The sequence below is a fragment of the Homo sapiens genome, chromosome 6, assembly GCF_000001405.40.
Source record: "Homo sapiens chromosome 6, GRCh38.p14 Primary Assembly".
NCBI lineage: Eukaryota > Metazoa > Chordata > Mammalia > Primates > Hominidae > Homo > Homo sapiens.
Genome location: NC_000006.12, coordinates 89,446,464 through 89,472,320, shown reverse-complemented (window position 1 = coordinate 89,472,320; position 25,857 = coordinate 89,446,464). Strand labels below are relative to the sequence as shown.

The 25,857-nt window shown below is 41.0% G+C and overlaps 1 protein-coding gene across 8 annotated transcripts in view, besides 1 other annotated feature; it reads right to left on the bottom strand.

Moving 5' to 3' along the window:
* The window catches only part of ANKRD6 (ankyrin repeat domain 6), a 200,683-nt gene that overhangs the window by 161,514 nt on the left and 13,312 nt on the right, over nucleotides 1-25,857 (bottom strand). The window lies entirely within an intron of this gene.
* Nucleotides 22,755-22,955: a silencer, noted in NCBI's record as "peak5952 fragment used in MPRA reporter construct". NCBI's record gives its function as "represses an SCP1 promoter by STARR-seq MPRAs in K562 erythroleukemia cells {active_cell/tissue: K562}" and the evidence as "EXISTENCE:reporter gene assay evidence [ECO:0000049][PMID:32103011]".

Genomic DNA, 25,857 nt, shown 5'->3' with positions numbered 1-25,857 from the left:
TGGGTGCCCCCCAAAAGGATAAGCTGAAGTTCTAACTCCTATTATCTCAGAATGTGAACTTATTTGCAAATAGGGTCTTTGAAGATGATCAAATTAAGATGAGGTCATTACTGTGAGTCCTAATCCAATGTGACTTGTGTCTTATAGAATGGGGAAATTAGGACACAGAGACATGTACATAGGGAGACCACCCTAAGAAGATGAAAGCAGGGATTGGAGTGCTGCATCTGCAAGCTAGGGAACGCCAAAGATTGCCAGCAACCACCAGAAGCTAGGAGGAAGGTGGGGTGGATTCTCCCTCAGAAGGAGTGGTCTACACTTATGACTTCACTTTCTCTCCTCCTTCTCTCTCTCTCTTTTTTTTTTTTTTTTTTTTTTTTTGAGATGGAGTTTCGCTCTTGTTGCCCAGGCTAGAGTGCAATGGCGTGACCTCATCTCACTGCAAACTCTGCCTCCTGGGTTCAAGCAATTCTCCTGCCTCGGCCTCCCTCCTTCTCTATCTTGAAGCCACTCCAGTCAGGCTTTCCTTCGGCCACCCCACTACAATTGCTCTTATCAAGGTCTTGGTGTTTTCCACATTGCTAAGCTCAAATGTCAGTTCTCACTCCTGGACTAACTTGATCCAGGATTTGAAATGTGAATCCTTTCTCCTTAACTTTGCTCAGCTTTCAGTAAAACACACACACACCCACACATACACACTAACACACAGATAAACACATACCTATTTCCTTCCTAACTTTCCGGCCACTCTTTCCCACATTCTTTTGCTGGCTTTTCCTCCTCTCCCCAGCTGTAACATTAGGTAATCCACAGGCTCAGTCCTTGGGCCTCCTGTCTATATATACTTACTCTCTAGGGGTCCCATCCAGTCTCGTGGCTTCAATGACCTTCCAGGTGCTAGTAACTCCAGCAATTAACTTCCTGCCTAGATCTCCTCTTTTTTTTTTTTTTTTTTTTTGTTGTTGTTGTTTTTGAGACAGAGTCTCACTCCATCACCCAGGCTGGAGTGCAGTGGTGCAATCCAGGCAACCTCCACCTCCCAAGTTCAAGCGATTCTCCTGCCTCAGCCTCCCGAGTAGCTGGGATTACAGGCGCCTGCCACCACACCCAGCTAATTTTTTGTATTTTTAGTACAGAAAGGGTTTTGCCATGTTGGCCAGGGTGGTCTCGAACTCCTGATCTCAAGTGATCCACCTGAAATTATTTAGGCTCAGGTCCCCAGAAGACTTCAGTCTAATTGAAGGAAAACACATAAGTGTGTGCACGTGCACACACACACAGGCGTTAACTTACACAATGATTTTCAAACTCAGTCTTCAAAGAAATGCATTATATATAAATGTAAACATATATATAAAGCCATAAAACTAGTAAAGATTAGGGTGACTGGACAACATCCATGTTGGTGAGGGTAGTGAAAAATCCACTCACAACTTTACTTAGGTACAACATTACCTTTTTGATGGGCAGTTGGGCATTAACAGCACCTAGAATAAATATACTTTGACCCAGCGATTTCACTTCTAAGAATTTATCCTAAAAAGATAACAGGGAGGAAAGAGAGTCTAAAGATAGCTATAAAAGATGTTCACTATAGTGCTGGTTATAAGAGGAAAAACAAAACAAAACAAAACAAAACAGAAAAAACAGAAATGCTCATTTAAAGGGGGAGTACATCATCATCATTATTATTATTATTATTGAGGCAGGGTCTCACTTTGTCACCTAGGCTGCAGTGGCACGATCTCAGCTCACTGCAGCCTTGACTTCTGGGGTGCAAACAATCCTCTTGCCTCAGCCTCCTGAGTATCTGGGACTATAGGCACTCATCACCATGCCTGGCTAACTTTTTAAATTTTTTGTAGAGACAAGAGTCTCGCTATGTTGCCCAGGCTGATCTTGAATTTCTGGGCTCAAGCGATCCTCCCACCTCGGTCTAGTAAAGTGGTGGGATTATAGGCAAGAGCCACTGTGCTTGGCCTATTAATCATTTTTGACTCACTGGAATAATGGAATACTTTACAGCCATTTTCAGTAACGTTTTCCTGAGGATTAACAAGAACTAGCTTGTAAAGATGTACCCAGTATAATGTTGAAATTTTTTTAAGCAGGTCATAGAACAGCATTTAGGTGTGATTTCATTGATACAAAATTGTGTGTCATGAATATTGAGTGTGTGTATGTGTGTGCAGTGAGAGAGGATGTTTAGTGAAAAGTAATTTATCTCTGGGTGATGGCATTTTAAAAGATTTTTACCTTCACCAAGTCCTGTATTATTTGCATTTTTTTCTTGAATGAGCTTGTTTATCAGGAAAATCAACAAAGCTACTCATTAAAACAACCATTTATGGAGAAAAGGAGAGAGAGATGGCTGTAGAAGGAGAAGAATCTGGGGTAAAGAGAGAGTTTGGGGTAGCTGTTGTTTTACAATAGGAGAGATGAGAATATTGACGAGGAAAAGAACCAGAAGAGAATGTCACACTGAGCACAGGCTGTAGGCCATGCAGTTTGAGTATGCTGAGGGGACCTAGAAATGGATGAGTTGGTTCCTACCCTCAGGCAAGAGTAATAAGGGTCCACAAATGTAAAAATAATTCCAGACGAGTGACACGGGAACTACAGAAGGCAGAGGAGCACTGCAAGCTGGAAGGGTCTGGAAAGGAATGCCAGAGGACAGGTGTCGTCTCAGCTTTCCAGGTGGGTCAGATTTCTCTGCACAGATATGGGTGGTAAGAAAAGTACCACCTGCTGAAAAGAAAGCAGACTATACAGATCACCAGGGGTGACAACTGACAAGGTTAGAAAATTAAGCTGGGGCTTATGGTAAAAAGGCTGGAAGTAGGTAAGAACTTTGTACTCAGGAGGAATTTTGGGAGGGGTGTGCAGTGACCCACTCCTAACAGTCCTCTGGACATATTAAAACCCAGCAGCTGCTTGTTGGACTTACAAATTGAAAGGATTTGACATGGAGGCAGGAAAAGCCCAATGAAAAAGCTAATGTGGCAGAGATCTGAGCTAAGGTTGTGAATGAAAACAGTGGCAACAAATAAGAGTGATATGAAAGGCATCACGGTAGGGGTCTATATATAACATGAAACATTTGACAGCTACAACTGCAGTAAACATACTCTAGACAAGATTGAGTTGATTATATGAGGTTATGCTGTTAATATTTTCCATTAAGCATTTTGCTCAACTACCACATTTTTATAAACAGGTGCATCCTCCTCTCTTCCCTCTGCAATTTACTTTTGAGCTGGGTATAGGAAAGTGCAAAGGTAATTAACAGTTCTCAGGAAAACCCAAAAGCCAGGAGACAGCTTTAGTGCCTCATTAGAAAGAACTGAATTTATAAGACAAGTCCCAGGCAACAATCATTATTCTTAAGGTGAAAAATAAACAGACCCATAAATGAGAGGTGAGGAGGTAAGGGGCGGGAGGAAAGGAAGGGAGAAGCTAAGGAAGGGAAAATCAAGAGAAAAAGGTTTGCAATACAATTTTTACAAAATGATATGCCTTAGGAAAGCATCTATATTTGTCAAAATACTACTAAAAATTCTAAATACAGATTACGGGCCAGGGAAATACAAAAGGTTAGCTAGAAAAGGGCTATCCGCAGGTGTCCAACCCTTTGAATGAGGGGAGTTTTTTGCTTATCTGTGGTGACAGATACCATGAAAATTATGCACGGACTTTTTTTTTTTTTTTTTTTTTTTTTTAGCTCATCAACTATCATTAGTGTTAGCATATTTTATGTGTGGCCCAAGACAATTCTTCTTCCCATGTGGCCCAGGGAAGCCAAAAGGTTGAACACCCACGCTTCAGACACTTAAAAATAGAAAAATTAAGACAAAAAATGTAATTCTCAACAAACCTTCAAGTTCAACCATCAAAAACAGCTTAACCATGCCTAAATAAGATCGAAATATTTATAAGCAATACTGGTAGAAACTTGATTTGTGCTCTGCTGATTGATACAAATTTTACACATTCTTCTGTAGTCTATTTTTACCTTCAAATAAAAATTATAGGTAATATGGGATATTTCATTAAATGTCAAGTGAAAAAATCCAGACAGACAAGATAAATAGCCTCATTATCATTTATTAGGTAAAATGTGAATTTTTAGACTCTCTGACCGGAACTTCAGAAACTTCCTTAGGTTAAGAGACTAAACTATTAAAAAGCCATCTGTAAGACTCAAAGCCATACATGCTTGGTGTGGGTCGCCTAATTTCTTTCTGGAAGACTTTCTGCTATCAGCAGTGTCTCCTTGGACCTCTATGGGCAACTTTAGGTGGTAAAATGAGAGGCACACTGCCTCAGGAACTCCTTCAGTATAACAAGAATTTTTATGGCTGTTTTAAATTCCAAAAGTGTTTAAAGTCCTAGTACAGTTTCAAAATATACTCTAAGAGAATTCACTTCAGCTCCAGGTTTCACGAAATATATGCTTCATGTTCAGACCCTACAATGCTGCACAGATGAATGCCTCCCGCAACATAAGAAGCTGCAGGAGTTGTATGTGTAGAAGGCTGAGCAACAATCATCTATCTGCCCACAGAGGGGGAGCTCTTGGGATAACTCTCCAAAGAGAACCAGTGAAACATAAATCTTTTGGAACTGCTGCAGTCTTTCTAAGAATCCCACCTTTCCAGTCATAGAAAGCACTGTGATACTAAGCATTATGAACACTGCTCTAAAACCACAAAATCTGTGGGCCTTCCATCTTGACTTTTGATCTACATGGGGAGCTACTGAAAAGTACAGTGCATAAACCCTGTGGCTGACTGTTAAGAGTTAAAATACTAAGATAGTGTCTAGTAAATAGTTAAGGAATCAACCAAGATAATCATAAGCATCACACAAAATGGGATTCATAACACCCAATCAGGATGAATGAAGAAGTGTATTCCACCAACAAAGCAAACTCCAAAAGTTAAATCAACTTACCAACAAGTACTTGGTGTACTCAGAGAAAAAAATGTCCCAGCATATCTATAAATAATATACCCCATATACTATAATATAAATATCCACTGATTTGTTGTTTTTCTCTAAGAGACCTCATGAATGAAGCTTAATTGACCAACCTTAATTTAACAAAGTTGTTGAAACTAAGTCTTTTTTTTTTTTAATTAGGAGACAGGGTCTCGCTATGTTGCCCAGGCTAGACTTGAACTCCTGAGCCCAAGTACTACTCCTGCCTCAGCTTCCTGAACAGCTAGACTACGGCACATGCCACTGCACCCAGCTTGCTTGAAAAAAATCTTGTGAAGTCAACTGACAGCTTTTCTATATAAAAATCTCTAGCCAGGCACAGTGGCTCACACCTGAAATCCCAGCACTTTGGGAGGCCAATATGGGAGAATAACTTGAGCTCAGGAGTTTAAGACCAGCCTGGAAAACAAGATAAGACCCCATTTCTATAAAAAGATTAAAAATTAGCCGGGTTTGGTGGCACGGGCCTGTTATCCCAGCTTCTTGAGATGCTGAGGTGAGAGGATTGCTTGAGCCTGGGAGGTTGAGGCTGCAGTGAGTCATGATCACACGACAGCACTCTAGCCTAGGTGACAGAGTGAGACCTTGTCTCAAAAAACAAACCAAACAAACACACAAACAACAAAAAAAACCTCTTACAAATTCACAATTTACAGGAAGGTGAAGATTTTGAAAGAAAAATGTGCACAAAAAATTCACAGGCATTTCACATACATACAGAATAAAAATACAAAGGCTAAAAACGTACAAAATATTCAGCCTTCTTTATAATCAAAGAAGAATAAAATGATAAGATAAAATGTTTTTATCTATCAAGTTGAAAGTTTAAAAACCAAGAATAATCAATACTGACAAAAAGGCAAGACAACAAATTCTCATGTATTGCTGGCAAAATTTCTAGGAGGAAATTTGGCAATATGTGTCAAAAGTCTGAAAACTATAAGTAAATATCTTTTGACTCAGTAATTCCATTTCTCTTCAAGGAAAGTAACCTCAAGTGTGAAATTAATGTACAAAAAATGTTTGTTCAAGCATTACATATAAAAATAAAAAACTAGAACCACCTAAAGGTTCAACACTATGGAAACAGCTTAATAAATACATAACTATATCTACTCAGTGTAGCTCTATGTTTTAAATATAATGATTTTGAAAATTGAGTAGAATGGGAAAACCCTCATGATATATTATTAGGGGACAAAGTTATAAAACAGCATGAAGAGTATGATGTCCACTGTGTATACAAAAAAATATACAAGAAATAGTGGTTACCTATGGGTAGAAAGACTGGAGAGGATTATCTTCTTTTCTGCTCATTTCCTATATTATCTGCTTTTCTACAATGAATATGTATTAATTTTGCTGGCAAAGTACTTTATCCATAATAACCTAATGAGGCAAGTACTATTAATATCCTCATTAAAATTTTTTTTTAAATTAATTTATTTATTTTTGAGATAGGGTCTCACTCTGTCACCCAAGCTAGAGCACACTGGTACTATCACATCTCACTGCAGCATTGATCTCCCGGGCTCAAGTGATCCTCCTACCTCAGCCTCCCAAGCAAATGGGACCACAGGTATGTGCTACCACACCTGGCTAATTTTAAAAAATTTTTTGTAGAGATGGGGTCTCACCATGTTGCCCAGGCTGGTCTTGGATTCTTGGCTTCAAGCAATCCTCCCACCTTGACCTCCCAAAGCACTGGGATTATGGGTGTCAGCCACCACACCTAGCCTATTCCCATTTTAAACAGAGGAAACTGGGGCACCAGGGTTAAGTAGCTTGCCCAAGGTCATGCAGTCATGGAGCCCAGATTCATCCAAAGTTGACCTGCCTCCAGAGCCTGATTTCTTAATCCCTTTGCAAATATTCACATTAAAAAAAAAATAATTAGGCCTGGTGCAGTGGCTCATACTTGTAATCCCTGCACTTTGGGAGGCTGAGGTGGGCGGATCACTTGAGGTCAGGAGTTCAAGATCAGCCTGGCCAGCATGGTGAAACCCCATCTCTACTAAAAATACAAAAAATTAGCCAGGCTTGGTGGCAGGCACCTGTAATCCCAGTTACTCAGGAGGCTGAGGCAGGAGAATTACTTGAACCCAGGAGGCAGAGGTTGCTGTGAGCCGAGATTGCTCCACTGCACTCCAGCCTGGGCCACAGAGCACGACTCCATCTCAAAAAAAAAAAAAAAAATTAAAGCAATGTGTCAGAAAATCTATAATTACATGCACTACAAATTCTTAAAGAAAGAGGATCTAAGTGGGCCAGAATTTTCGGAGCAAATAGGGAGGGGGAATTTCAGGGCAAACTGGGAAGCTGATAGTTCCCTCCTTTCAGGTTGTGTCTTTGTTTGTACTCAGATTATCTGAAAAGTCACCTATTCCCTTCTCTACCACCATTCTTCCTCCCTTCAACACAGACACAAACAAATAGCATTATTGAAATCTTATGCCGCATGTGGCAGCACTCCCCTGCCTCTGTCCTGGCCCACCCAATTCCCTGAGAATTCTTTTCCTGCTTCAAAGGCCAAGGTAGGTCCCATCAATAACCCCTCAGAATTCTATGCAGACGTAAAAATGTAACTCACATTCTAGGATAAAATAATGTCTTTTCCATTTTACTTCCAAATAGAAATGCATACAATTTTCCCCTAAGGAAGTTACAAGGTAGTTTAGATGAAAGCAAAGTAAGTTCTTGGAAATGCATTATTAAAATACAGAAGACTCTTGACAAACTCTGGTGGGTCACATGTGAATAGGCAAGAACACAGAATCTTTTCCTGTGTATCATGTGATGTTCCTGCTCTAGCCTCCAAACAAAGGCCTGACAGATATAAGCGCTTGCAGTTAACACTGTGAACCACCTAGGGCACCTTGGGATTTCTGTATGGAGGCAAGGATGATTAAGTTGGAAGGGACTAAAGAAACGTTTTCTGTATCCTAGAGGGAAAAATATTAAGAATCAGTATAAAACAAGCTCTAACCATCTGTTAATTCTTTTTTTTTCCTTTTCTCTTTTTTCTCTGTTATTCTAAAATTGGACATTTGATCAAGTTAAAAAGAAGTGAAGTTCCTGCCAGTGGAGGCAGGAATTTAGACTACTAGATAAAATATCACCACTAGTGTTACAATTAACTTATTACAAAACAAGGACAGTTTTTTAACTTCAAGGACTAATAACGGTACTCCCCAGCTAGAGTTCATAAAGAATTATTTTGTTTTGTTATTCCAGATCTTATTAAAGGCAAGACTCTATTACTGAAGGGCTGTGGCCTTACACCTGATAAATTAGAGATTGATTCATATGTCCAGTACGCAGATATACATTATCATATTTTTGTTTTGCAAGAGTGAATCTAACAAGGAAGGAGACTAGTGAGGATGAGCTCCTTCAATGAGAAAGATTTATTGAAGCAGACCCCAAAATGAGGGTCAATTGCTTTTTTTTATAAAATAAGATTTTTGACTGGGCGTGGTGGCTTATGCTTGTATTCCCAGCACTTTGGGAGGCCAAGGCGGGCAGATCACCTGAGGTCAGGAGTTCAAGAACAGCCTGCCAGACATGGTGAAGCCCCATCTCTACTAAAAATACAAAGAAATTAGCTGGGCATGGTGGCGGGCACCTGTAATCCCAGCTACTCGGGAGGCTGAGGCAGGAGAATTGCTTGAACCCAGGAGGCGGAGGTTGCAGTGGGCCAAGATCGCACCATAGCACTCCAGCCTGGGTGACAGACAGTTTTCATATATCCTTTGAAAAAGTTATAAGGTCTCCAACTTGATGAAATACTGTGTTAAAATATAATTATTTGAAAAGTATTGTATGAACCTTAAAAAATGTTCATATCTTGCACCCAGTACTTTAATTTTTGGTAATTCATCTTTAGGAATTAATTGGATAGAGTACAAAACATTCATGTACAATACTTTCTGTGTTTTTTAAATGACATTCCAGAGGCTTCCTTAATGTCTAATAATAGGAAACCAGTAAAATTATGGTATATCCATACGATAAAATATTTTGCAGTTATTAAAAATTGTTTTAAAAAAATTAATAACAAAATGCTCAGAAAAAATACTAAATGAAAAAATAAGTGATAAAACTGCTCTTATATATTTTACTTCAAAAAGCATATATATTAGAAATTATAGCCAGGTATGATGGCTCATGGCTGTAATCCCAACACTCTGGGAGGCCAAGGTGGGAGGATCACTTGAGGCCAGGACTTTGAAACAAGTCAGGGCAACATAGTAGGATTTTTTGTTTTCACAAAAAAGAATTTTTTAAAAAATTAGCTGGGCATGGTGGCACATGACTATAGTCCTACTTGGGAAGCTGAGGCAGGAGGATCACTTGAGCCCAGGAGTTTGAGCGAGCTCTGATAGCACCACTGCATTTCAGGCTGGGTAACAGACTAATACCTTGTCTCTTAGAAAAAAAAAAAAAAAAAACTAAAAACTCATCTTGGTGGTCAATACATAGGGGTACTCGTGTACTTTTCTACAATGTAAAAACATCTCTAAAAATAAATAAGACAGCTCCAGTAACTTAAGAGATTTGTTAAAACAGAAAGTCTGTTATGGGAATTGCCCAAAGATAATCTTTTTATTGTCTTACGCAATAGACTTTGTTCTGTCTCTAAAACAAAATGCAATATATTAAATATGAAAGACAGAACAGAGGCATATGAAACCCACTCAGATCAGGACTTAAAATGGTACTGGTATTTCAGAAGCAATCTAGTTAGTGTAATCAGTCACTGTGATTCCTATATATGTCCTATATGTGTTAGGACTGTATTCTTCAGTATTTACTAGTTGGAGGTGCTTCACTCCAGTCCCCTCTCCTGCAGCTCAGAGATGTCTTTGTTTCTAAGGCACGCAGATAGAAGCCATCAGACAGCTTGTATTACATGTCTGGAAAAAACTGTTTATTATTCACCCATCTCTGCTACAAATAAATTTCAATAACCTTGACTCTGTAAAAACAGTTTAACCCCAAAAGAAGATAAACACTGTAAACTTCCTTCATTTTTATTTATGTATTTATTATTATTATTATTATTATTATTATTATTATTATTTTGAGATGGAGTCTCACTCTGTTGCCCAGGCTGGAGTGCAGTGGCGTGATCTCGGCCCACTGCAACCTCCACCTCCCGGGTTCAAGCGATTCTCCTGCCTCAGCCCCCTGAGTAGCTGGAATTACAGGCATGCACCACTATGTCTGGCTAATTTTTGTATTTTTAGTAGAGACAGGGTTTCACCATATTGGCCAGGTTGGTCTCGAACCCCTGAACTCAGGTGATCCGCCCACCTTGGCCTCCCAAAGTGCTAGGATTACAAGCGTGAGCCACTGTGCCCGGCCCATTTCACTTTTAAAACTAGCACTGGTTATCTCTAATGAGCTTGTGGAGTACAGTAGAACATAAATATAATAGTTATATTTTTATGATATGAATTGTACAAAACTCAGTGTGACAACTACTCAATTTATTAGACAAGCTTCCAGGGATGTAAAGATTCAATAACATCATTTCTCATACTCTATTCACAAAAGTCTGGGTTGAATGTTGATTCATTTCTGCAGCCGTATGAAGTTCAAACAAACTACAATACATTAGAGAGCTTATCTAATACACTAGAGAGCTTATACTACCATATTTTAATAATATTCCTAATTTTCTTTTATGAATGATACCAAAGCCTCTTTATTTAGCAAATGATACTGAGTTGTTATGAGTGAATGTGAACTGCTAAAAAAAACTGAATTCTAAATTATTAGCATCAGCTCTGCAACGGACATATGTTGGCTTAACATAAAGCCATGAATCTCTTACTTCTCACTGTTGTATCACTTGGGTAACTACATAACTTCCTACAAACAGCGCATAATACTGCAGCACATAAGAAATCTCATCTCTCACTAATTCTATTCTCTCCCATCAACTAATGTACTCTTATATCATATGTGCCTTTATGTGAAAGGCATATATGATACCTGAAACTGCTTATCCCAATTTCAAAAAGTTCAGTTTCTTCCAAGGTATATGTAAATCTCAAGGAACTATTAACAAAACTCTCCTTTGAATTCCAAAACACCAAGCCAGGTGCGGTGGCTCACTCCTGTAATCCCAACACTTCAGGAGGCAGAGACTGACGGTTCACTTGAGGTCAGGAGTTAGAGACTAGCATGGCCAATATGGCAAAACCCTGTCTCTACCAAAAAAACAATAAATAAATACAAACATTAGCCGGGCATGATGGCACATGCCTGTAATCCCAGTTACTCAGGAGGCTGAGGCAGGAGAATCGCTTGAACCCGGGAGGCAGAAGTTGCAGTGAGCTGTGAACAGCTTACTGCACTCCAGCCTCGATGACAGAGGGAGACTCGGTCTCAAAAAAAAAGAATTCCAAAACACCGATGTAGTATTAGTACATTCCAGTAAGTGTAGATATGGTGACTCTGAGATAATTATTTCATTTCTTTCTCTCCCTCTCCACTCTCTCATTCTGAAATGATCCTAAGTAGCAAATTTAATAAAAAAAACTTGAGAGAAAAATAACCTCATTAAAAAAAAGAAAATTGGCTGGGTGCTCACGCCTGTAATCCCAGCACTTTGGGAGGCCAAGACAGCCGGATTGCCTGGGGTCAGGAGTTCGAGACCAGCCTGGCCAACATGGTGAAACCCCGTCTCTACTAAAAATACAAAAATTAGCCAGGTGTGGTGGCAGGCGTCTGTAATCCCAGCTACTCAGAGGCTGAGGCAGGAGAATCACTTGAACCTGGGAGGCAGAGGTTGCAGTGAGCTGAGATTGCGCCATTGCACTCCAGCCTGGGCGACAAGCGAGACTTTGTCTCAAAAAAAACAAAAAACAAAAAAAACTTGCTAATCTATAAGGTATTTTTGAAACTTACTTTCAAAATTTTGAAATTTTAATAGTTACTTATCTAAGTTGCTTTGGCATATAAATATTGTCTATATTCTCTCTCTTAAAAAGAAAAAAAGTCAGGATCTAGGAGAATTGGAAAATTATATTTTAAAACTTTAAGTAAAAAAAGAAAAAATTTGTTAATTGATATTATAATAACTACATTATTATCCAAATTCATCAATGCCAGGTAAGTTTCCTGTCTCTGTGATCATGATCTTTCAGGTCTCATTTTTCTCATATCTAGTGTGCTATAGGAAAAGGCTGTCTGGATACTCAGTTTGGAAACATGAGGAAGAGCCCCAATAGGGCAATTTCTAAAAGACTGCCACAAAGGGAAAGTGAATGATTTGAATAAAAAGTAATACTTTATTTCTTAGAATGTATGCTCTCCAGGATATATTCCAAGGATAATATTTAATCAATTTTATACAGTAGCAGCATGGTTCTAGAAACATTAGAAATACTACTGTCAGCTTTCTTTGTCCATAATAATTAAGCAGAGTAAATGTTTATGGAAAGAAGATAGAGCCTGATACGTCTCCTTATAACTGTCATAATGTTTAAATAAAAACCACCCTAAGCTGGGCACAGCAGCTTGTACCTGTATTTCCAGCTCCTCAGGAGGCTGAGGCAGGAGGATTGCTTCAGGTCAGGAGTCCAAGACCAACTTGTGCAACACAGCAAGACTCTATCTCTAAAAATATTTTTTAAAATTAGCTGAGCATGGTGGCACACACCTGTATAGTTCTAGCTACTCAGGAATCTGAAGCAGGAGGATCACTTGAGCCCAGGAGTTAAAGGCTGCAGTGAGCTTAAAACAACCCTAACCCTTACAAGGCTGGTGAAATCCTTAGATGGCATTGGAAATAGAGGCTAGAGGACTGAACCAAGAATGGACATTCAAGAGTTCAGTCCTCTGGCACAGAAGCTTTAAATTAACCTGAGGCTCCTCTAAGTTATGCTGGTTTTATGGACACTGAGGGGATGAATTTAAAGATATGTTCAGCCAGGCATGGTGGCTCATGCCTGTAATCCCAACACTTTGGGAGGCCGAGGCGGGCAGATCACCTGAGGTCGGGAGTTCGAGACCAGCCTGACCAACATGGAGAAACTCCGTCTCTACTAAAAATACAAAATTAGCTGAGTGTGGTGGCACATGCCTGTAATCCCAGCTACTCGGGAGGCTGAGGCAGGAGAATCGTTTGAACCCAGGAGACGGAGGTTGCAGTGAGCCGAGATCACATCATTGCACTCCAGCCTGGGCAACAAGAGTGAAACTCCGTCTCAATTTTAAAAAAAAAGACATATTCATTTTAAGAAGACAAAAAAAAGGTGAACTCTGAACCAACAGGACACGAAGCGCCTATACCACAGGTGTGCACACCCCTCCACACTGCCCAAGGTTGTCTGTCACCCCTTTTGCATGTCAAATGTGGGGGTGGCAGGGCATGGCAGGAGTAGCTGCCCATGGTGCTGAACCCCAAGACAGCATAGGCCAAGAACTAGCCAAGACCACGACACAGCTCCTCAGTGGAATTTCACACTGTGATGGTTAATATTGAGTGTCAACCTTATTGGATCGAAGGATGCAAAGTATTGTTCCTGGGTGTGTCTGTGAGTGTGTTGCCAGAGGAGATTAACATGTGAGTCAGTGACTGGAAGAGGCAGATCCACCCTCAATCTGGGTGGGCACCATCTAATTAGCTGCCAGCTCAGCTAGAATAAAGCTGGCAGGAGAAGATGGAAGGGCAGACTTGCTGAGTCTTCCAGCCTTCATCTTTCTCCCGTGCTGGATGCTTCCTGCCCTCAAACATCAGACTCCAGGTTCTTCAGCTTTTGGACTCTTGGACTTACACCAGTGATTTGCCAGGGGCTCTTGGGCATTTGGCCACAGACTGAAGGCTGCACTGTCAACTTCCCTACTTTTGAGGTTTTGGGATTTGGACTGATCCACCACTGGCTTCCTTGCTCCTCAACTTGCAGACAGGCTACTGTGGGACTTTAACCTTGTGAATCAATTATCCTTAATAAACTCCCTTTCATACCTACATATATCCTGTTAGTTCTGTCCCTCTAAAGAAACCTAATGCACACATATATTCTACTTTTCCACAGTTATAGCCCAAAATCATTACCAATTTTCCTCATAATTTCCACTTATTATTTTCACCATTAAAAATGATTCGTGTCTTAGTAGTTCTGGCTGCTATAACAGAATACCATAGACTCAGTGGCTTAAACAACAAACATTTATCTCTCACAGTTCTGGAGGCTAGAAAGTCTAAAATGAAGAAACCAGAAGATTTGGAATCTGGTGAGGGCCCATTTCCTGGTTCATAGAACACCATCTGCTCATTGTATCCTCACATGGTGGCAAGAGGCCTAGAAAGCTCTCTGAGGTCTCTTTTATAAGGACGTAATCCCATTCGTGAAGGCTCCAAACTCACAACTTTATTACATCCCAAAGGCCCCACCTCCTAGTACCATCACATTGAGGGTTAGGGTTTCAATATATGAATTCGCGGGGGAGACACAAACATTCAGTCTATAACAATGAGAAATTCTCTTTTCATTTACAGCAGACCAAAAAACTGAGAAAAAATATAACTCAATCAACTTATTAGGGTTCACTCAGCAAGCTGCAAAGTTATTACTTTAGCCTGAGAGTCACAATATTTCCCAGTAACATAAGCCAAAATCTACTGCCATATTTTAGAGTTCATGATCCGCCATTTGGTTTAAGACCAGTATCTTAAATAAATGATAAAGTTGAAGATAAATCTATTAATAGATAAATATATGTATTTGGATTAGTATAATGGTTTTTGTTAGTCAGATAGAGAGATTAAGCATAAAAATTTATCCTGAAAACTCTTAAAAATATTACCTCATTAAGTGAGAAGTAGAAAGATAGCATTTAGTAATGTTTAATTTTGATGACATGCACGTAAGGTAAGTGAGCATTTGAAGATGGAGACTTGCAAACAGGTTTCCCAAAAATAAGACACTTTTTACCACTCCAATTTATGGTAGTCTGTCTCCAAGACAGTTTCCAATAATCCTGAGGTCCTATAATTAACACCCTTGTGAAGGCTTCCTCCACAGTGGATCAAGGCTGGGTATGTGTGACCAATAGAACATGGTGAAAGTGGCAATACATGACTTCTGAGGCTACATGAAAAGCACTGCAGCTTGTCTTAGCATCTTGAATCACTTGCTCTGGTGGAAGCCAGCTGCCATGCCTTGAGGAAATTCAAGCAGCCAGTGGAAAGGAGATACAGCCTCCAGCAGCCACCACCAACATCCCAACCATGTGAATGCACCATCTTAGAAGGGAACCATCCCACCCCAGTCAACCTTTCAGATGACTGCAGCCCCACCTGGCATGTGACTGCAATTGCCTTTATGGACTAAGGTCTGAACCTCTCAGCCAGGTCACTTTCTAATTAATTCCTGACTGACTGATTTATTGTATTGAGATACAATAAATCATTGTTGCTGTTTTAAGCTACCAAGTTTTAGGGTAATTTGTTAGAAAGCCTTAGTAACTGGAGCATAATTTTACCCTACTTAATCCAGGCTAATCTTCAATGCTGTCCTTCATGGATGATCCTAACACTTTAATATAAAATTTCTGTGGCCATAATTTATGTTTTATGAGACTAGTGGTAAACAGCCTAGCTATTTTGATAGACAAGTAATAAAGAAAAGAAAGGTATGGACAGTGTTATGGGCAGAACAAGTTCATATATTAAAGCTCTCCCAATACCTCAGAATGTGACTATTTGGAGACAGAGCCCTGAAAGAGGTAATTAAGTTAAAATGAGGCCATTAGGGTAGGCCCTAACCCAGTCTGACTGGAGACACCAAGGATGCACACGCACAGAGGCAAGACCAAGTGAGAACACAGAGAGAAGGTGGCCATCTGAAGCCAAAGAGGCCTTGGGAGAAATCAATTCCACCAGCACCTTGGGTTTGGACTTCCAGTCTCCAAAACCGTGAGAAAATAAACTGCTATTGTTTATGTCACCCAGTCTATAGTACTTTGTTATGGCAGCCCTGGCAAACTAAGATAGAGAGTGACAGAGTTCGATATTTGTCACCTCCCAAATCTCATGCTGAAATGTAATCCACAATGTTAAAAGTGGGGCCTGCTGGGAGGTGACTGGGTCATAGGGGTGGGGCAGATCCCTCATCAATGGTGTATTAGTCCATTCTTGCACTGCTATAAAGAAATACTTAACTTTGGGAGGCCAAAGCGGGTGGATCACTTGAGGTCAGGAGTTCCAGACCAGCCTGGCCAACATGACAAAATCCTGTCTCTACTAAAAATACAAAAAATTAGTCAGGCATGATGGCATGTGCCTGTAATCCCAGTTACTCAGGAGGCTGAAGCAGGAGAATCGCTTGAACCTGGGAGGTGGAGGTTGCAGTGAGCCAAGATTGCACCACTGCAGAGCCTGGGCAACAGAGCAAGATTCCATCTCAGAAAAAAAAAAGAGAGAGAGAGAAAAGAAATACCTGAGACTGCATAATTTATAAAGAAAAGAGGTTTAATTGGTTCACGGTTCTGCAGGCTGTACAGGAAGCATGGCAATATCAGCTTCTGGGGAGGCCTCAGGAAACTTACAATTATAGCAGAAGGTGAAGGGGAAGCAGGCACATCTTACATGGCCAGAGCAGGAGGAAGAGAGAGGGGGCAGGTGTTACATGCTTTTAAAACAACAAGATCTTGTGATAACTCATTCACTATCATGAAAACAGCACCAAGAGGACGGTGCTAAACCATTCATGAGAACTCTGCCCCCATGATCCAATCACCTCCCACCCAGCCCCACCTCCAACATTGGGGATTACAATTCCACATGAGATATGGTGGGGACACAGACTGAAACCACATCAAATGGCTTAGTGTTGTCCTCATAATAGTGAGTGAGTTCTCACAAGATCTGGTTCTTTAAAAGTATATGGCACCTCCTCCACTCTGGCTCCCATTCTCACCATGTGAAGTGCCTGCTCCCCCTTCACCTTCCACCATGAGTAAAAGCTCCTTGAGGCCTCCCTGGAAGCCAAGCAGATGCCAGCACCATGCTTCCTGTACAGCCTGCTGAACTGTGAGCCAATTAAACCTCTTTTCTTTATAAAATACCCAGTCTCATCTATTTCTGTATAGCAATGCAAGAATGGCCTAATACAGACGGAAAACACATAGATTAAAAAAAAAAAAAAACACACACACACTGGGTGTGGTGGCTCACACCTGTAATCCCAGCACTTTGGGAGACCAAGGTGGGCAGATCACTTGAGATCGAGAGTTCGAGACCAGCCTGGCCAACATGACAAAACCCTGTCTCTACTAAAAATACAAAAAAAATTAGATGAGCATCATGGCACACACCTGTAATTCCAGCTACTCGGGAGGCTGAGGCAAGAGAATCGCTTGAACCCAGGAAGCAGAGGTTCCAGTGAGCTGAGATCGCACCACTGCTCATCAGCCTGGGTGACAGAGTAAGACTCCCTCTCAAACAAACAAACCTCAGAAGACAACAAAAACATCTAAAGGGACAACACCAAACTACGTTATCTAAAAATGTACATTTGGTTCGTAGAACTATAAAAAAAATACAGGGAAATGATTGCTATAAAAGAATCATGCAGGTAGTCTTCACTTTACATGATTCCAATATGTACAATTTCAATTCCAGTTTAGTTAAACTACAGCAGTGCCCCAATGACGTACCTCAAATTTTACTTACCACACTGAATTAACTTTGAGAAACAACATGAAGTACAGACTTCACAAATAGCTCTTCTGGCCACAGCTCACTATGTAATTAACAGATGTGCATCACGATCAGTGACCAATTACATCACTCCTTTCCAAGTCTCTGATTGGTCACTCCTCATCTGTTATTCAGTTCTTGCACAGAGAGCAAACCAAGTATCTGTGTTGCTTCCTGATCTCCCAGGGATAAACCCACATAACTTTTACAAAATGAATAAATTGAAGGAAGAAACTGGCCAACAAAGATGAAAGTGTAGCAAAGAAATGAAAAGTGATTAACACTGGAAGTAAAATATGAAAAGAATGTAAACAGAGTTACATATAGAAGAAATAGCTGACCATGGGAATGTCAGCATCACCACCATGCGAAGACTCTAGATGTGCACCCATAAGACCTTCATAAAGAAAAATTACTGACTTACATGAGAAAAGTGGTTGAGATGAAAAAAAATGAAGAAATGACACCAGCAAAAACTTCGCATTAAAGGAACTCTTGCCAGGCATGGTGGCTCATGCCTGTAATCCCAGCACTTTGGGAGGGTGAGGCGGGTGGATCACCTGAGGTCAGGAGTTCAAGACCATCCTGGCCAAAATGGTGAAACTCCGTCTCTACTAAAAATACGAAAAGTTAGCCGGGCGTGGTGGCAGGTGCCTGTAGTCCCAGCTACTCCGGAGGCTAAGGCAGGAGAATGGCGTGAACCCATGAGGCTGAGCTTGCAGTGAGCCGAGATCATGCCACTGCACTCAAGCCTGGGCGACAGAGCGAGACTCCATCTCAAAAAATTAAAAAATAAAATAAAATAAAATAAAATAAAAATATTAAATAAATAAATAAATAAATAAAAAATACAAAAATTAGCTGGGTGGCGTGCACCTGTAGTCTCAGCTACTCGGCAGGCCGAGGCAGGAGAATAGCTTGAACCTGGGAGGCAAAGGTTGCAGTGAGCCAAGACTGCGCTACAGCACTCCTAACTAGGCGACAGAGTGAGACTCCATCTCAAAAAAAAAGGAATTGTTGGAGGCACTTCCCAACATTGAAAGCACAAAGTATAAAATCTTGGAAGCTGATCCAAACTTCAAAAGGAGTATAAAAATTCATCAAGGCAAAGAAAAGATGCTTGTTGTATATCATAAGTTATATGATGAGAAAAAAGAAGGCAAGCACTATTCAAACTACTCTTGATAAGTTTTTACAAAGAAATAAAACCTTTTATTCTAATGTTGCTAATGTTTTAAATTACAGGGTATAACACTTTACTATGTTTTCATTTCCCTATACAATTATAACAGAGAGTAAAAGGGCTTTTAATGTTTTGACAAAAATTTTAAAAGGTTCCAGAACAGTCAGTCACAATTTTTCCCACTGATTATTAGGATAGCTTATCAGTGTTTCAGCATGAGCTATCATTTTTACAGTACCATAATGTTGTGTAAAGCAAGAACCGCCTGTAGTTACTTTTGGAAGAAGGGAATGACAATTGGGATGGAAAACAAGGAGGAGCTTCTGGGGTGACTGGCAAAGTTCTATTTCTGACCAGAGTGATGGTTTTATGAGGGTGTTTGCCTTATGAAAATTTGTGAGGCTAAAATAATGTTACTGGCTCAAATCCATGGGAGCCGCAGACTAGTTCATGAGGACCAGTCTGAACCATCAGTCCAGCGGTCACCTTTCTAAGAAAAAAGAAAAGAAAAGCCACAGAAAGTTACTTGGCAGAGGGCACAAAGGCTGCTGTCTGACATGAAATCAGAACCCAGGCCTTCCTGGCCGCCAGGTTTACACTCCTCTCTTTAAAACCTGCCAGTCTTTCATGAAACAGACTTCTCGTAAAGGGCATCTTTATTGTCCATTTCCAAGTGAGGTAATTCAGCCAGGTTTGGGTGCGGGGTCTGGGGATTTAGCACATTACTTACTGCTAATCAGAAAGAAAAAAAAAATTGTCAGGCCAAAAGAGAGTCACTGGCTTCAAAAAAATTTATTTATTTAAATTATTTCTCAAGTGGAGGGTTCAGGCTTTGCAGACAATAGTAAAACAGTTTGCCTCCCTGATCCTAGTGCAACAATACATTCAGCCTTAATGAATGTCATTTACTCTGTGGGGCTCAGGCAGCTCTGCTGTAGATTTATGACATCTGAGTAGGTTACAATCAATACTTTGGTTTCCCTTCTAGATTTAGTATTATAACATTTCCCCCCTCACTTAAATATCGAATAGCTTCTGATGTTGTTTTTTCATACAAAATCCATCAGGAGTTACATAGCTTCTACTTGCTTAAATTTGGGGAAAATGTTTTCTCTTGTACCCATCTTTCATTAACACTGTAAGAAGAACAACTTTACGTAACTGGGATATTAACTCCATCCGATTTACTTAGCTAGTAAATTCATAGCATATACTAAAAGTCTTCTGTTTTGTTTTCAGACAGGGCCTCACTCTGTGGACCAGGTTGGAGTGCAGTGATGCAATCATAGCTCACTGCAGACTCAACTCCTGGGCTCAGGTAATCCTCCTGCCTCAGCTTCCCAAGTAGCTGGGAATACCACACCTGGCTAATTTTGTTAGTGGTGCTGAGATGGGGTCTTGCTGTTTCCCAGGCTGGTTTTGAACTCCTGGCCTCATGTATTCCTCCTGCCTTGGCTTCCCAAAGTGCTGGGATTAGAGGTGTGAGCCACTATGCCCAGCCTAAAAGTCTCTTAAGATGTATTATCTTACTCTTAAAGTAAATGTCCCTGACATTAAAGGAATTTCAAAGGGTAGCAGAGGGGGTTATAATAAGAAACCACAGAAGTCCTGGAGCAAAATCAGATACAATATTTTATGTTCTATTTTTAGATGCACAAAAACATGGTCACTTTTAACACAACCAGTCAATTACAAGTACAGTGTTAGGGTTTTTGATTCTTTAAGTACCAAGGGAAGAATATAAATTAGTTAGTTTAGGACGTACAATGACAGAAATGCACTGAGCATAAAGGCAAAACTGGGTTTTGGTATATCAAAATAACAATCAGTTTTTAAAGCTGTAAGCTCTGTTTTCTTCAAAATGGGCTTTTCTCCAGGATTTAGTAATAAAATGGAAGGAAATTATGGTATCTAGAGAGAAATTAGACCTGTCACACATTTTGGAGGGGAGAAAGAAATGATACAGAGCTACCATTTTAATAATAGAAGATGGCTGTTTATTTTGCAAACTTTAGAGAATGCAGTCCACAAAGGTATTTCTACCTTCCTGACAAGGATGAGCTCCTGAAAAGAGGATGTACTTTGAATTTTATTTCATTTTATTTTTGAGATAGGGTCTCACTCTGTCACCCAGGCTGCAGTGCAGTGGCGTGATCTCAGCTCACTGCAACCTCCACCTCCCAGGCTCAAGCAGTCCTCCCATTTCAGCCTTCCGAGCAGCTGAGACCACAGGCACACGCCACCATGCCCTACTAACTTTTTGTATTTTTTGTAGAGATGGGGTTTCACCATGTTGCCCAGGTTGCTCTTGAATTCCTGGGCTCAAGCAATCCACCTACCTTGGCCTCCCAAAGTGCTAGGATTACAGGCGTTAGCCATGGCACCCGGCTGAATTTTAGTAATTTGAATTATAGAGGCATACCTTGGAGATACTGTGGTTTGGTTACAGACCCCCATAATAAAGCAAGTACCACAATAAAATGAGTCACACAATTTTTTTGGTTTCCTAGTACATATAAAAATTATGTTTACACTATATCGTAGTCTATTTACTACACCATAGTATTATGTCTAAAAGAAACAATGTACATACCTTATTTAAAAATACTTTATTGGCCAGGTGCAGTGGCTCACGCCTGTAACCCCCAGCACTCTGGGAGGCCAAAGCAGGAGCCCAGGAGATCGAGACTAGCCTAGTCAAGTTGGTGAGACCCCCATCTCTACAAAAAAAAAAAAAGTCTGCAGTGGTGCAGACTTGTAGTCCTAGGTACTTGGGAGGCTGAAGCAGGAGGATTGTTTTAGCCCAGGAATTCAAGGTGGCACTGAGCTATGATCACACTGCTGCCTCCAGCCTGGGCAACAAAGTGAGACTCCCTCTGAAAAATATATAAATAAAGATAAAAATACTTTGTTGCTAAAAATGCTGATGATCATCTGAACCTTCAGTAGGTCATAATGTTTTTGCTAGTGGAGGGCCTTGTCTCAAGCCCGGTGGCTGATGACTGATCAGGGTGATCGTTGTTGAATGTTGGGGTGGCTGTTGCAATTTCATAAAGACAACAATGAAGTTTCTGAATCAACTGATTCTTCCTCTTTTTTTTTTTTGAGATGGAGTCTCACTCTGTCGCGAGGCTCACCACAACCTGCACCTCCTGGGTTCAAGTGATTCTCCTGCCTCAGCCTCCCGAGTAGCTGGGATTATAGGCGCCTGCCACCACACCCGGCTAATTTTTGTATTTTTAGTAGAGACGAGGTTTCACTACGCTGGCCAGGCTGGTCTGGATCTCCTGACCTCAGGTGATCCACCCACCTCAGCCTCCCAAAGTGCTGAGATTACAGGCATGAGCCACCGTGCCCAGCCTGATTCTTTCTTTAATGAGATTTCTCTGTCGCATGTAACAGCTGTTTGACAGCATTTTATCCACAGAACTCCTTTCAAAATCAGAGTCAATCCTCTCCAGCCCAGTGGTTGCTTTATCAACTAATTTTATGTAATATTCTAAATTCTCTGTCATCATTTCAACAATATTCACAGCATCTTCACCCGAGATAGATTCTTTCAACCAAAAAATATCTCCAAATATGTTAAATTTTTTCGGGAGTTAGAAAAGAGAATTATAAACTGAGATGCACAATGGCAAGCCACATATGCAACTGAAGAGGGGAGGGTAAAGGGAAGCTTTTATTGGCAGAATGAGAGGTTCACATAAGGTGCTTGAAAACAGAGCTCATTGGTTTCAGGGACTCAGAGATGGCATAGGTTCATTGGTGAAAATGCCGTTACTGGGCAGGTATGCTTTTGAGAGCATCTTGTCTGAATTGCTGCAATTCTAAAGAAATAATTATTTGCAGGGTTATTTTGGAAAGTCTTTGAGACAGTCTTTATCTCAGCCATGCAAACATGAGCCTTCCCCTTCATGCTCTCCTGGCTCTAGTTTGTTTGGGTCTGACAAAAAGTGATTTCATCTGGTATCTGCAACTTTCACAAGTCTACCTCAAGAAACCACTTTCTTTGCTCATCCATAAAAAGCAACTCCTCAGCCTTTCAAGTTTTATCATGAGATTGCAGCAATTCAGTTGCATCTTCAGGCTGCACTTCTAACTGTAGTTCTCTTACTATTTCCACCACATCTGCATTTCCTTCCTCCACCAAGTCTTGAATCCCTCAAAGTGACCCGAGGGTTGGAATCAGCCTCTTCAGAACCCTGTTAATGTTGACATTTTGACCTCCTCTCATGAATCATGAATGTTCTTAATGGCATCTACAAAGGTGAATCCTTTCCAAAAGATTTTCTGTTTACTTTGCCCAGATCCATCAGAGGAATCACTTTCTTTGGCAACTATAGCCTTACAAAATGTATTTCTTTTTTTTTTTTTTTTTTTTTTGAGACGGAGTCTCGCTGTGTCTCCCAGGTTGGAGTGCAGTGGCGCGATCTCGGCTCACTGCAAGCTCCGCCTCCCAGGTTCATGCCATTCTCCTGCCTCAGCCTCCCAAGTAGCTGGGACTACAGGCGCCCGCCAACACGCCCGGCTAATTTTTTGTATTTTTAGTAGAAACGGGGTTTCACCGTGTTAGCCAAGATGGTCTCGATCTCCTGACCTCGTGATCCGCCCATCTCGGCCTCCCAAAGTGCTAGGATTACAGGCGTGAGCCACCGCACCCGGCCATATTTCTTAAATAAGACTTGAAAATAGAAATTAACTCTTTGATCCATGGGCTGAAGAATGGATGTTGTGTTTAGTAGGCATGAAAATATTAATCTCCTTGTACAATGCCATCAGAGCTCTTGGGTGACTAGGTACATTGTCAATGAGCAGTAATTTTGAAAGAAATCTTGTTTTCTAAGCAGTAGGTCTTAACAGTGGGCTTAACATATTCAGTAAACCACCTGTAAATAGATGTACTGTCATCTGGGCTTTGCTGTTCCATTTATACGGCACAGACAGAGTAGATGTAGTATAATTCTTTTTTTTTTTTTCTTTTTTGACAAGGTCTTGCTGTCACCCAGGCTGTAGTGCAGTGGCACAATCATGGCTCACTGCAGCCTCAACCTTCCAGTCTCAGGTGATCTTCCTACCTCAGCCTCCTGAGTAGCTGGAACTACAGGCACATGCCACAACACCTGGCTAATTTTTTATTTTTTGTAGAGATGGGGTTTCACCATGTTGCCCAGGCTGGTCTCAAACTCCTGGGTTCAAGCAATCTTCCTGACTTGGTCTCCTAAAATGCTGGGATTACAGGTGTGAGCCACCTCACCTGGCCAACGTATCATAATTCTTAAAATGTCCTAGGATTTTCCAAATGGTAAATGAGAACTGGCTTCAACTAAAGTCATCAGTTGCATTAGCTCCTAACCAGAGTCGGCCTATTCTTTGGATTTAAAGCCAAGCATTGTCTTGTCTTTTCTAGCTATGAAAGTCCTAAATGGAGCTGGGTGCAGTGGCTCACGCCTGTAATCCCAGCACTCTGGGAGGCCGAGGCAGGCGGATCACTTGAGGTTGGGAGTTCAAGACCAGCCTGACCAACATGGAGAAACCCCATCTCTACTGAAAAAAAAAAATTAGCTGGGCGTGGTGGCACATGCCTGTAATCCCAGCTGCTTGGGAGGCTGAGGCAGGAAAATCGCTTGAACCAGGAGGCAGAGGTTGCAGTGACCCGACATCACACCATTGCTCTCCAGCCTGGGCAACAAGAGTAAAACTCCACCTCAAAAGAAAAAGAAAGAAAAACAAAGTCCTAAATGGACTCTCCTTCCAGTAGAAGGCTGTTTCATCCACATTGAAAATCTATTCGTCAGTGTAGCCATCTTCATCAATCAACAATCTTAGCTAGAGCTTATGGATAACTTGCTGTAGCTTCAACATCAGCACTGGCTGCTTTACCTTGCACTTTTATGTTACAGAGATGGTTTCTTAAACCTCATGAACCAATCTCTGCTAGCTTCAGACTTTTTTTCTGCAGCTTCCCACCTCTCTCAGCCTTTACACAATTGATAGAGTCAGAGCCTTGTTCTGGGTTAGGCCTTGGCTTTAGGGAATGTTGTGGCTGGTTTAATCTATCTAGACCACTCAAACTTTCTCCATATCAGCAATAACAATAAGGCTGTTTCACTTTCTTGTCACTCCTGTGTACAGTGGAGTGGCCCCCCTCCCTTTTTTTTGAGACAGGGTCTCACTCTGTCACCTAAGCTGAAATACAGTGGCACAATCATAGCTCACTGCAGCCTCAACCTCCCAGGCTTAAGTGATCCTCCCACCTCAGCCTTCCCGAATAGCTAGAACTACAGGTGCATATCACCATGCCCTGCTAATTTTTTAATTTTTTGTAGAGACAGGATTTCACTACGTTGGTGTATTAGTCAATTATCATGCTGCTACAAAGAAATACCCAAGACTGGGTAGTTTATAAAGGAAAGAGGTTTAATTGACTCAGTTCCGCAGGGCTGGGGAACCCTCAGGAAACTCACAATCATGGCAGAAGAGGAAGCAAACACCTCCTTCTTCACATGGCAGCAGCAAGAAGTGCCAATCAAAAGGGGGAAAAGCCCCTTATAAAACTATCCAATCTCGTGAGAACTCACTATCACAAGAAGAGCACGAGGGTAACTGCCCCCATGATTAAATTACCTTCCACCAGGTCCCTCCCACGACACATGGGGATTATGGGAGCTACAGTTCAAGATGAGATTTGGGTGGGGACACGGCCAAACTATATCAGTTGGTCAGGCTGGTCTTGAACTCCTGGTCTAAAGCCATCCTCCTGCCTCAGCCTCCTAACGTGCTGGGATTACAAGAGTGAGCCACTGCACCCAGCCCTAGAGTAGCACTTTTAATTTCTTTCAAGAATTTTTCCTTTGCATTCACAACTTGGCTAGCCCTTTGGCACAAGAGTCCTAGCTTTCATTCTATCTTGGTTTTTGACATGCCTGCCTCACTAATATTAATTCTAACT